At 34.8% G+C, this 14,482-nt stretch overlaps 1 long non-coding RNA gene and 1 pseudogene across 1 annotated transcript; both read right to left on the reverse strand.

Annotated features, from left to right (window-relative positions):
- Nucleotides 1–1,223: 1,223 nt before the first annotated feature.
- Nucleotides 1,224–10,564, reverse strand: LOC124905003 (uncharacterized). Its single transcript, XR_007067831.1, has 2 exons — nucleotides 6,946–10,564; nucleotides 1,224–1,759 (listed from the first exon to the last, which is right to left on the reverse strand). It is a non-coding gene; the product is annotated as an uncharacterized LOC124905003 (long non-coding RNA).
- Nucleotides 13,044–13,983, reverse strand: EIF4A1P1 (eukaryotic translation initiation factor 4A1 pseudogene 1; annotated as a pseudogene).

Below are 14,482 nucleotides of genomic sequence, written 5' to 3' on the forward strand. Positions count from 1 at the left end.
TAGTGTAGTCCATTTTCAACATTATATTGATATTATGGAACTTTTTTCTTCATCGCTCATGTAAACTGACTAGATCTGAACCCTATGATATGAACTGTCAACTGGTGTAGTTTAGAGATTACGTTTCACATGCATGTTTCTGTGGCATAATATCTATTACAGAAAACATTCTTGAATGGTTACCCAGATATGGTGCTTTTGTTAAAATGCAAATCAACACAGTTTTCTTTATCAAAAACATCTTGCATGGCATTAAATGTCAGCTTTAAAAAGTCACTGATGGCATGGTAAAATTTTGTGAGTTAAGTAAATGTCAATACATTAAATTCAAGATTATTTTACATATCAAGTAATAATATGGAAGCTGATTACGAACTCAAATTATTTCATAAAGAGCCATGCAGTTCATGGAGAGCAATAGTTCTGTGGAAAGCACTTCAATTACTGAATAAACTTTTAATGTTTCACTTCTTAAGAAACCAGTTTGGTCTACCAATTTAAAGCTGTTCAGTGATAGCCAGGGTTACTTGTTTATCTGATATTTTTTATGTATTTAATGATATTAATATTTTTAGGTATTGTAGAAATAGAACAAGTTTTTCAATGACAGAAAATGAAACTTTGAGAATTTATGGAATCTAGTTTTACAGTTTATATATGGAATATAGTATGTATTTAATGATATTAATATTTTTAGGCATTGTAGAAATAAAACAAGTTTTTCAATGACAGAAAATGAAACTTTGAGAATTTATGGAATCTGGTTTTATGGCAAGCTAATAACAATTACCAGTGAGGTAGGTGTTAATGTTGTTATTGAACACCTGCAAAAGGTTATCACCAAACATTTAATCAAGGGTTTGGAATTTTATTTTTTTTACCAAAAATGTGTCACACATAAGAAATGCATGGATCTGAAAATCATTCTCATTGAAAGATAATTCAAATTTAATAATAAGGATAAATTTATAGAACTAGCTACTGGTGGAATCACTGAAGTTGTGTTTTGAAAGCACATCATCACTTACTTCATTTTTGGATATCAGTTAAAAACATACATGGTGAGCTAGATGAAATTACTTTAAAGGCTCTTGCTCTGTTTCTAACAATACAGCTCCACAGATTGTTTTGGGCACAATGAGTGTCACTAAAACAGGAACCTAGAAATAGTGCAGATAATTATGAGTAAATGAACGTTGTGAATAAAATGTAGCCTAGACATGTTAACGGAAGAAATGAACTGTTTGCATTTATTCATATCAAAATCTTTAAATGTGTTTATACAAAGTATTCTCAAAGTGTGCATATAAGTTTTCATTGAATGAAATCACATTTCACTTATACATTTTGTTTAGCTGAGATTGTAGAAAGACAAATAGTATATTAGCAATTCTCAATATTAATGGCTATGTGTATACTCTTAATAAAAATATATAGTCTTTTGGAAATTATTTTCTTCATATACCATATTTGTTCTGATTATATGTATAAAAATGGAGAGATATTCCTGATTCTACAAAAAGGTTTTGCAGTTTATGTATCTTTGTTTAATTTTAGTTTTCTAGTAATTTATTTTCATCATATTTTTCCATAGTATTCATTCACAATAAATTAAAATACTGGCTCTTTGCAATAAATACTACTTTTACCTTTTTAGTTTTGAAATAATTACAGATTCATTAGAAGTTGGGAAGATAGTACAGAGAAGTCCCATGTAACTTACATCAAGTTTCTTCCAAAGGTTACATCTTACAGAACTCTATACAATAAAAAACAGAATGTTGACATTAATACCATGTATGTATATTTTCATTTTATCACTGTTAGATTGGTATGACGACCACTCCAATCAAGATAACACAAAGATCTTACAGCGCGACCTCTTTAGAGTCTCATCCATCCCCTTCCACCTCCAATGTCCATAAACCCTGGAAAACAAAAATTTGTTCTTCCATGTCCATAGTTTTTTCATTTCAATAATGTTGTATTTTTAGGCTTTTGAGGAACCTCTATACAGTTTTCCATAATAGAAATTCTTCAAAAAAACTAAAAATATGGCGTTCTTAAAATGACAAAATTATAAAAAATGGAGAACAAATTTTACCATTTGATCCAGAAATCCCATTTCTGAGATTTCTAAAAAATTCCGTATATCTAAAAGACATCTGCATTCCCCATGTTCATCACAGTATTGTCTATAATAGACATGGGATCAATCTATGTCCATCAACAGATGAATTGATAAAGAAAACATGGTATTTATAAACAATGGAATACTACTCAGCCTCGATGAAGAAAATTCTGTCATTTGCAACAACATAGTTGAATCTGGAAGACATCATGCAAAGTGAAATAAACCAAGTACAGAAGAGAAAAACTGCATGTTCTCACTTATATGCAAAACTAAAACAATCTAAGAAGCAGATAATAGAAAAGAGGTTACCAGAGCCTGGAGGTGAGGCAGGGATGAGAGTGAAAGGAAGAATGATGATATGTCAGTCAAAAGATCAATTTGAAGTTAAATAGGAGGAGTAAATAATGAGTATTTAAGGTGCTAGATATATAAACTTATTTGATTCAATCATCTCACACTGTATATGATAGATATATACATGACTGTGTCTCCTATAATTATATATAATTATAATTCAAAAATAATTAAAGCTATTAAAAAAGAAACGAATGTTGTATTAATAGAATATTGAAGTATGTAATATTTTTAGATTTTTTTTTACTCAGAATAAATCCCTTGAGATCTATTTAAGTACTGGAAGTTAGAATTCTAACATGCATTTTAGTAGAACACAATTCAACTCATAACAATACAATTATGGCTGACATTGGTCTGTAATTTTCTTTTTCTTTAAGGTATTTTTCACCTTTTCATGTAGTATTAGCCTGATCTTATATAATAATAGTCCCTCTTCCTCTTTTTTTGCTGAAAAAGTGTGTATAACCTTGATTTTATTTATTTAGTTTTAGACAGAATTTACCAGTACAACTATCTCAGCGTGGAACTTTCTTTATGGAGACAAATTTAATTGCCTTAATGGAGATTAGGATTACTCAGATTTTCTTTCTTATTGGTAATTTTGATAAATTGTATTTTTTAAGAAAGTTGTCTATTTGTTTTATTTTGTCAAGTTTGTTGGTATATCATTCTTAATAACATTCTATACTATTCTTTAATGTTTGTAGTATTTAATGCCTTTGATTACACTGCTATCATTAAAAGGTATTAACCCACTTTTCCAACCACGCTATTATAATGAATAGAACTTCCTCGTAAGAATTTCTTCATCATTCATTCTTTCAGTATATTCACTAAACATCCTGTAAATCCCAGAAAACAGAGGCCGGGACAGATTAGATGTACTTTCTGCCTTCACAGAGCCAATGGTCTAGTGGATTATGTGGCTATTAAGTAAGAATTTGGAAGTGTGTTTGGTATAATGATATGAAGACCATATGTTTCAAGAAAACTTTAATGAGTCTAAAGGGTAAATAGAATTTAGTTAAACAAAGAGAAGAAGAAAGCACTGTCTGGTCAAATAGAAAGCTAAAGAAAAATTTCAGAAGCAAGAAATGATGAAGTATAATCCAAGAAGTTAAATTAAAAAAAAAAAAAAATCAGCATTGCCAGGTATAGACTGCAAAAGGGGGAGACAGCAATAAGAAATTATACTGAATAAGTATGTGTGGCCAAAGGATACAGTGCTTGTAAGTGTTCATGAGATGCGATATTTTCCTAAATGGGATGGGAAAGTATTAAATTCTTTTTAGCACATGGAAGTAATTATCAGATTTGCATTTTCCAAATGTTACTGAGGACTTGACGTATAGAAAGTATCGGCAAGAAAGCAGACTGTAAGCAAGGAGGTGAATTAAGACTTTGTTCCGATGACCTACACAAAAGACGATGATGGCTTGACCAAGAGGTAACAGGGCAGTTTTAGAAAAGGAGATGGATATGTCTACCAGAATTGACTCAATCTTATGATTGATTGAAATTGCCAAGTAAGGGAGACAATGCAATCAAGAGTGACACATAGATTTCTGGCTTAGGTAATTAGGTAGATGGGGTTGACATAAAACGAGAAACTTACAGGGGGAAATGTTCTCCCAGGGAGAGTGTTATTTTTGAACAAGATGAATTTGAATGGGCTCTAGGCTACCTAGTAGAAAAATTATGTAATATAATCAACTTACTTGAACTCTGTTGAGTTTGAAATAGGTAGCTTCATATTGATACCTATGCTCAATGCTTAGCTTTACAGGTGCTGGCAAAAAGAAAGTGGGTATGAACTGGTTTGGGGTTTTGCCAGAGTTCTTGGAAGAGCAGAATTCAGAGAGATCAAATATTCTCCAAGTAATTAAAGATTGGGTCATGAAATCTAAGCTTGATGGGTTGAAAAATAAGGAGAAAAGAATAGTGGGTGTAGAAAAAGTAGAGAGAGCCAATGAGATATAAGTTTCAGGGAAGTGGAGAAAGAGTTCCAGTGGAAGAAGATTAACAGAGTAACTTGAAAAAAGGAAAATTGTAGTTAAAAATTGAATGTATTTGTCTGGAACTTCTGACGCTATCCTGGATGGATGATGAAATTTTGAATGATGAGAGAGGAAAAGACAAATGTGTAGAGGAAGAAGAGCAGACATGAGAGCCTTGAGTGAGACTCTTAGAACTTCCTACAAATGTCTTTGTAATTGGACTCATGTGTCATCTCCTCTATGAAACTGCAGGTCGCTTAATGTCCAGGTCTGTAACTTACTCTCCCTTCAATCAACAGACGAGCCCACTAGCATGCTGTCATGTGTAAAACAAGGACTCCATAACTAAATCTTGTATCAATAAATGAATGTGGTGATTTGTCTAAAAGTCAGATTATAAAATTACTCAATAACAACCACAGAGCAAGTAGTTCCAAAATGATATAATTCCCAGAATTTTATAGAACATCATTGATTATCTCATAGCCAGAAAAATTCCAAATCTTTTCATGGCTTGTTATCTTCTTGAATTGCCTACTAAATCCTACTGATAAGGTCCTTATAGAGAAGTAATTCTACAGTAGTGTGATTACCAGGTATTAAAGTCTTAAGAAAAAAAAGATTTCCTGTAGCAATAGCTTCATATACAAAATTTTAGAAATAAAGCAGTAGAAAGCATTAGCACAGGCCTAGGACAACTCTAAGCAGGAAATAAAACCTTATATTTTATTTTCATTTTTATTTTCATAGAGAGTAGCAGAAGGGCACCCCTTCTTGAGAATCAGCTTCAAAGGGTGAACAATACTGTCTTTACTTAACAGACAGGCTTTTTAAAAAACAACCTTGAGAGTATCATGCAAACTGACTTTTTAATGGTTTTGGGCAACATGTTTACATTTTAAACTTGTGGGTTTGCATTTTTCTTTATTTTCAAAGTTCAATCTGTCAGCTGGTTGGAATTTGTAATTTATGGCTCTGCAGCAATCCAAAGTTCCTTATCCTTAAGTGATCCCATTCCCAAGGAAGTTTATGTTAGAGAGATTTCTAAAAAATCTTAAAAGTAAAGACAATATTTTGGAATCATTATGTGATGTTTCTAAATATGTTCTTCTATGTTGATATCCCTGTAATTTTTGAAAGATCTTTGATACTACACAATGAGGAAAAAAAGAAATCTTAATCAATGAAATGTCAAGTCCTTAAAATATCTCCCGTAATACTTCCCTTCTGAGTATTTTATTTCAGCTTCAGATGTGTATTTTTCCTCTTAAGTTAATTTCTCTAATCCTTATTGATTCCCTACTATATGCTTGTTACTTCACATAACATTAATAATTAAAAAGAGAAATAATATCAATAACAGTCTCTAACTTGAAGTGTTTATGGTCAGTTGCAGTGAAAATCAACATCAAAACAGGTAATATGAAGTTTAGGACACATTGTTGGGACTACCAGCCAAAAGTCTGGTGAGGTTGAAGATACAATAACATATAGAAGAATACACTGATCATCATTCAGCTGTGTTTTATTTGAGTAAGCTAAACTGCTTTACTTTTGTCCAATGCAGAATTTTTTAACGTTGTATTTATTTGCTTAAAACAAAAGAGTTACTCTATACAAGTTTTGTAGTCCATGATTTCTTTCTGAAACCTTTCAGGATTAAATCAAAATATGGCTTCAGAGTTACAACAGTAACTTAAAAGCACAGAAGCCAAATATTTACCAGAACTGTAAAACTGTAAAACTAAAGTGTAAAACACTTCAGTTTAAAACTATTCACATTATTTCTAGCTTGAAAGTGCTAGAAATACATCAAAATTGGCCTTTATTAATTGAGAAGTTAATTTGACATGTTAGTGACATTTCTCCAGGTTAATGTATTTATTGCAAGAAAATGTGGGTGCTTTATAGGAAAATATTTGCTTAATTTAGGTGAACTATTTTTTTCTTATTTTATTTCTAAAATTTTGTAGAAAGAGAAAATCTCATATTCTGTTTCTCGTTGGTTTCTCATTGGTATAAGTGTGCCCCATGGAGCATTGACTCATTCACATTTCACATAGAGGATGTGTAATTTGGCCCCTCTGGGTAGAGAGAAGCAGATACCCGTGGGTCCAGCATGACCATGTGAAGGTAAGTCTTTCCTTGTCAGCCAATGCATCGCATGAGGGTGCCAAACTTCTGTTGGTGGTAGAGCAGGGGGAGTAGTCTGGACCTGGGAAGTCCCTGAGTTATCGTTACGTCTGTCCCTTAGAAAATAGGCAAGGGCCAGGATCAAAGACAGGATGAATACATAAGCTGGTAGGTATGGGAGGATTTTATATGATGCGTAACTAGGTCTACAACACTATCATTTTTTATTGTTTTTAAAAAACCTTGATATCCTTCTTCACACAGAGTTAGTGGTTTTGTTCTTCAGCTACTTGCACTGAGGCTATAAACTTGTTCAGACTTTACCTTCTGTCTCACAGTATCAGCTATATTGATGATGGTGGCAATTGCTGTAAAATACAACCCCCTAGATGTTAGTGGAGAGTAAAATTTATTCTTGCTCCATCAAGTTCAGTGCAGATATAGTCAGCCTTCAGTGGTGCTCTTCCCCATGGTGAGCCAAAGTTCCAAGCTCCTCTTATGTAGTTATCTTCTACTGTTGCTAAGTATTTCAGAGTCATCTGGAGTCCTGAAGTCTTCTACAAATCCCTTCCATTTGGACATCAAACAAGAGAAGAAGGACCTTTAATGAAATAACTTACATTTTTTCTACCAATATCCCATCAGCCGAAACTACTCTCTCTCCCCACTCCTCCAACACTCTGGAATATAAAACAGATTTATGAGTAACCACCACTCTGTTAGGTGCACTTTGAATTTAGTTCTTTCAAAGAGAAACGGGAATGGGACTGTAGCCACCTCAAGAAATGATACTGGCAAAAGACACATTTGGTATTCCTATTTTATTGCCACAATATGCTGAATTTTGTCTATATTAAGGAAAAGGTATGCTGTATATCTATCAAGGTATATTGTGCTTGGAGATATGTAATACTCTTTGGAAGATTTTACCTTCTTCACTATTAAGGGAATTGGATTTTCCAGTCATTGTAAACTGATATTTTGTAACGTTTAATTCCATGCCATAAAAATAATATCAGGGAAAACAATAGCTGTAAGAAATTTATCAAATGCCTCATCTTAGCTCATTCTTCAAAAGGCGTATTAGTCTAGCTGGACTTCCATGAAGGTAATAAAAGTGGTAAATATCCAGCTAACATTTTGTAAGCTGAAAAAATTTTTCTCCGAAAGTAAAATACAGGTCACTGTGTGGTAAAAGAAAATACTCATACTAGCAGAGTACTTAATATAGTAGTTTTATGTGGAAAACATGATGTCTTTACTAGGTGTAGTTAGTGCTTAGCACATAATGTTATGAATACATGTCTGCTAAACAGTGCGATTCTGGCTATCTATAAATATCTGCTTTTGCTTGTATGACCTGAATATTAATGGCAAACTTTCCTATAGAATGAAAATGATTAATGAGACTCCTGACTAAGCTGGGGACCTAATTATTTAAGGCCAATTTTGTAATGTTCACTTAGCTCTCATGTCAATTACTATATTTCCAAAAGGAGACCTACCAATTGCTAATTATATCAATATTCATATAATCCGATGACAAATACTCACATTTTGTGGACGATTGCATCTTCCAAAATGGCCCGTCTTTCATGCTCTTGTTAATGTGATCTTGATTTTCCTCCCATTGCCCATGGTAATGTGCTGCCACCCCTAACCCCAAGTGTTTCAGCAGAGTAGATTTTTGTGACTATTTCAACCAATAGAATAAGCTAAAATGACGCCATGACAATTCCAAGGTCTGGTTGTAAAAATGCTAGGCATATTCACTTTGTTCTCTGAGGATGTTTGCTGTCAGCCACCATGCTAGAAAGAAGTCCAAATCTTCCTCTCCAAAAACACCCCCTCTAGATGTCAGTGGAGAGTAAAATTTATCCTTACTCCATCAAGTTCAATGCAGACATTCAGCCTTCAGAGGTGCTGTTCCCAATCATGAGCCAGGGGTCCAGGTTCCTCTAAATAAACTTCTAGGTAAAAATATTTCTAAATAAACTAACATGTTTTGCCCATTTTTAAATTGGGGTTTTAGAAAAGCTATTACTGAGTTTACAACTATTATTAAGATATGAATTAGACAAGAAGAGGCCACTTTAGGAGTTCTAATGCACAGCTCGGTTTAGGTTTCAGCCAACAACCTGCGTCAACAACCACACATGTGAGGAAAGATGTCTTCTGAAGATTCCAGCCTCCAGCCAGCAAGCCTTTCCAAGTATAACCCTAGGTATTGTGGAGAAGAGGCAAGCCATGCTGAACCTCAGAATCCGTGACAGTAATTTACTAGAATCCAATATTAGTAAAATAGTATTTTTTGTAAATACTAGATTTGAGATAATTTGTTATGTAGCCATGGTAACTGAAACATTCTTTATTCAAACATAACTAGATCCCAACTTTCCATTAAACTTTTTCATTAGTGTTTTTCCTAACTTTAACAGTATTTACATACATACTTTATCTTCAATTGTTCCAGTTGACTTGACTTCCACCAACTATATAGCACAGAAAAATTCTCCTTTAAAAATTATAAACATACATTCAGTCTTCAGGTTGACCCTGGTTTTCTTTCTGAATATTTTTGACTTAACTGCTGTTACATGTTTGATTATACAATACACTAGATTATGTAAGAGTAAAATTATTATTGATAATTTCTAAACTAATAGATTTAGTTCAGGGTCATAGCACTAATAGTCCCAGTGCATAGCATAGGACTTACACATGGTAAATGGTCAATAAATATTGCATGAATAAATGCATGCACAGACACTTTTAATCTGTTTTGAAAATTTAGTTAGAATACTGTAAAAAAAAACTATGTAATATTCACTGTTAATTCTAAATGCAGATTTGAGATTTAGCTTATATGTGCTTTTATAGTCTTATTCATTTGACCATCTAAATATTTGACTATGAAATTGAATAAATTTGTATTACTGTCTCATCCTATATTATAAAAACTGTAACTTATTATTTTTGTGGCTTATTATTCACTTATTAAAACTATTCTGGTCATTTCAATAATGGTGATGATGATAACAATAGCAGCTAGTGTTTCTTGGACACTTACTTGTACCAGAAATTGTCCTAAGTTCTTCTTGTGCTACTAAATTAATTTACATGTATTGGGATATAATTTACTCATAGACAAATTAATTCCTTTTGGTTGTACAGTTCTATGCATTCTGATAAATGCATGTAGTCAAGAAATCATCATTACATTTAAGACATAGAGCATTTCCATCATCTAAAAAAATTCCCTTATGCAAGTTTGTGGTCAATTCTTTCTCCCATATTCAGCCCTTAACAAACAATGGTCTCTTTTCTGTCCATATAGTTTTGCCTTTTCCAAAATGTCATACGAGTGAAATCATACTATATGCACTACCATTTGCTTCTGGTTTATTTCAATTAGTCTAATACATTTGTGAATCATTAATGTTGTTGCATTGCTGTTTTTTATTCCATTGTTTAGATGTACCATAATTTGTATAAATATTTTCCTTATTGATGGACATTTGGCTTTAATTTGGGTAATTAGGAGCAAGACTGATATAAGCATGGGTGTATAGATATTTATACAAACATATGCTTTCAATTCTCTTTTATATCCACCTAGGAGTGGTATTGCTGTGTTGTATGCTGAATAGATGTTTAACTTTATGAGAAAGCATCAAAGTATTTTCAAAAGTAGCTGCATCATTTTCAAAAATAGCTGTGTCATTTTGCATTACCACTAGCATTGCATGAGATTTCCAATTGATCTGCATGCTCACCACAACTTGATACTACCAGTTTTGCTTTAAAGCCATTCTAACAGATGTACGCTACCACATCGTGGTCTTAATTTGCATTTCCCTAAATAAAATGATGTATAGAATCATTTCATATGTTAATGTGCATCCACATATTTCCTTGAATAAAGTTTTATATTTTGCCCATTTTTAATTTTTTATCATTATTCAGTTGTGAAAATTTTAAATATATTTTTAGTAACAGACTTTCATTTTATATATATATATGTTTTGAAATGTTTTCTACCAGACTGTGACTTTTTCTTTGATTTTTTTAACAGTGTCATTCAAAGAGCAAATCGTTCTTTTTTTTTTAATTTTGTTGAATGCCAATATATTTCATTTTCCTTTTATGATTCATGTTGCTGGATGTTGAGTCTAAACTTAACCCAAGGTTGTCTCTTGGGTTTTTTTTTTTTGGACATCTCCTTGGAGATGTTTTATAATTTCTGCATGTGGTGCAAGGTGTGATTCACATTTATTTTTGCATATAGACGTACAATTTTTGCCACATCATCTGAAAAACCACGTTGAATTATTTCATCTACATAATTCTAGATTTTATAATCCTAAAACATGAGATTAATTAAATAACCCAGAGGTACACATTGTACACCTTGAATATATACAATTTTTTTTTTTTTTTTTTTTTTGACACAGGGTCTCCCTCTGTCACCAGGCTGGAGTGCAGTGGCAAGATCTCAGCTTACTGCAACCTCCGCCTCCCAGGTTCAAGCAATCCTCCTGCCTCAGCCTCCCAAGTAGCTGGGACTACAGGCATGCACCACCATGCCCAGCTAATTTTTGTAGTTTTAGTCAAGACAGGTTTTACCATGTTGGCCAGGATGTTCTCAATCTCCTGACCTCATGACCTGCCCGCCTCTGCCTCTCAAAGTTCTTGGATTACAGGCGTGAGCCACCACGCCCAGCCAAATATATACAATTTTTTATTTGTCAATTCTACCTTGATATAGCTGAAAAAGAGAAAAGGCAATTTATTTGCTCCATCAGCTGACAGTTGTTGGCATGTTGTGGAATACAGTATATAAGACCAATATACTTTGTGGTTGTATTCTCCTTCTTTTATGTTAATCATTTGTGTAAAATGATTCCCTTTATCTGAAGAGATTATAAGCAGAATCCTGTGTGATGGCTCAAATATTTAGTAAACTTTGTGGTAGTGTAACTGGCTTAGGTCTTGAGGTTAGGAACAGGAAGCCAATACCTAAAATATAATCAAGGTGAATCATGTCCCTTTTAGAGCAGAAGTCCAAGGGTAGCAACTTGCTACCAAATGCCTGGTTGGTTATCTTAAGGTGCCATATTAGAGACTGACAGTTGATCTCAGTTGCTAAGTTATTGGGAATTTTACTAGAGAAGTAGCCAGATCAACCTTATTGAGTGGGATTCTGTGCTGTCAGGCCCTGCATGGCTCCATCTCCACTACCGTGGCTACCCTGTGCTTGAGTCTCTGCTGCAGCAAAAGGGTGTCTGAGCATAGATGCGATGCTGGCTGATATCAACAAGCTGCTGTTAAATCTGCACTGTTAGTGCCTCTTCTTTGTGAATGTTCTGTGGTGGGTATTAAAATGTCATACATAGATCTTTATACTTTGTTCCCATTACTGTAAGTTCATCTGCGTGTCCCAGTTCTTCCAATCTTTTTCCTTCAAGCTCTATCAAACCAATCAAACCATTAGCTTCTGTAAATGTGTCTGTACATACTCCTACCATGGACTTTCTATTTCCATGTAAAGTGGATGACAACTTATACCACCCTAAGATCTGCCTATTGGGATAAATGTATAATCACCAGTCGTTTTGCAACATCTATGAGTGGGACTATTGTATAACAATAACTGATTTTCAGTTTGAACCCGCTTACAAAGGTGAGGCCCTTGGGAAACAAACTCAACCTTTTTCCTCCTCTGTCAGATGGCTGTAAAAAATTTCCCCCATACCAAAAGAGAGATGCTGGGTGCAACAAGGAAGAATGAAATGGTCTGGGCGACCCGCTGTGTAGATTAATCTCACCCTCCAAGATTCTTTGTGCCTGATCCCATATATATTGCTTTCTTCTTAAAATGCATTGTTGCTAGGCCTTCTTGACTTTGGAGCTTGTGAAAATAACATATATACAGTGCAAGATGGGCAGTTGTGGTCACATGGTCACTTGATGTGCTGGGTTCAGCTGCTCAGTCTCTACCAGAGCCCTTTTACTTGCTGGGAGATGCGTTCTGAATGCAGACACGGATGTATGACTTAAATACAGAATCCCAGGATTCTCTCTTGTGGTTCTGAGACCAGAGCTTGTCACAAATGCAAAAGAAGAAAAATAATTTTTCTTCAACCCTCATAAATTCTTAGTTAAAAAGGACCACTGTAACAAAGAACAGATTAACAAGAGGAAAACAAACAGAAGTTCATTAACATGTATATTTCATACAGATGTGTGAGACACCCAGGGAATGAGTAATTTTCAAAAAGTTGGCTTTGAATTTCTATTTGCATACCTAGCATCTTAAAAAAAAACAGTAAATTTTTAGATAAGTACTAAGACACAGGAAAAGGACTTTGAGACTCTAGAAGCAGCAACTTGTGGGAAGGCAAATAAACAGCAGATAAAAGCTAATTACCACATCTCATTTCTGTTGGTCCGTATCTCCATGCACAGCAGAGACAGTGAAAACCCAAGCATGCATCTTCTCAGTGAGTCAGCCCACCTTCCTTCGAGTGTTGGTGAAGATGACTTGCCTGGGTGATGGTCAGAGTTTCATACAAGTCACGCAGTGTGTCCAGCTTCCACTTCTCTTGTTCCACATTGATGCAGAATTGGTGGATACTCTCCAGGATCAACTCTTCCTTCTTGACCAGAATCCAAATGGGGTCCCTCATGAACTTCTTGGTCACCTCAAGCACATAAGAAAGCATTGTAGCTGACAGCAAACTACCTGGGTGTTGCTGTTAAACTTTGGAATATGACATAGATCTGGTCCTTGAATCCATGGCTTAACATTTCATCAGCTTTGTCCAGTACAAGCATTTTGATGTATTTGGGAGACAGGTATCTCCAGTGAACCATATCAAACATGCATCCAGGGGTATGCATGATGACATGGGGAGCTTCCATCTGCAATTTCTGCACCTCAGTACACACATTGGTGCCCCCAATACAGGCATTACAAGAGGTACTCATGTAGTCTCCAGGTGTTATGACCACCTTCTGTATCTGCTGAGCCAGTTCTCTAGTGGGTGCTAAGACCAAGGCCTGGGTGGCTGTTAGATCTAACTCAATCTGTGGCAGAATCGATATGACAAGTGTGGCCATTTCCCCAGTCCCAGGTTGGGCTTGAGTGATCACATCATAACCCTTGACACAGGTAGAATGGCTCGCTGCTGGATGGCAGAGGGTTTCTCAAAACCATAGGCATAGATGCCACGGAGAAGAAACTCCTACAGTTTCATGTCATCAAAGCTGTCAACCATCTCATTCTAGTTACTCTCGATGATGCCTTTGGGCTCCATGCCATCAGGGTCATTGTCTCAGGATGGGGAATCCTGACTCACACCTACAATCCCAGCACTTTGGGAGGCGTAGGCAGGTGGATCACTTGAGGTCAGGAGCTCAAGACCAGCCTGGCCAACATGCTGAAACCCTGTCTCTACCAAAAATACAAAAATTAGCTGAACGTGGTGGTGCATGCGTGTAATCTCAGCTACTCAGGAGGCTGAGGCAGGAGAATCGCTTGAACATTTAAACCTGGGAGGCGGAGGTAGCAGTGAGCCAAGATCTTACCACTGCACTCCAGCCTGGGTGACAGAGACTCTGTCTTTAAAAAAAAAAAAAAAAAAAAAAATGCTAATTAGCAAACCATGTTAATGTAGATTCTTCTGGTACCATGTACAAGCCAATAAAGGTCTAAAGTTGTCTTTGGTGATCTTTACCTTTGTTCTCCCTGGTAGAAGAGTGACATTATATGTTTTGTCTTTGTGAATCTATGTACTACTTTTATGCATGTAGAAAAGGGCAGAAATCTTTCCTGCAACTACTTCTTCATTGCCTTTAG

Source organism: Homo sapiens, chromosome 21 (assembly GCF_000001405.40).
Source record: "Homo sapiens chromosome 21, GRCh38.p14 Primary Assembly".
Taxonomy (NCBI): domain Eukaryota; kingdom Metazoa; phylum Chordata; class Mammalia; order Primates; family Hominidae; genus Homo; species Homo sapiens.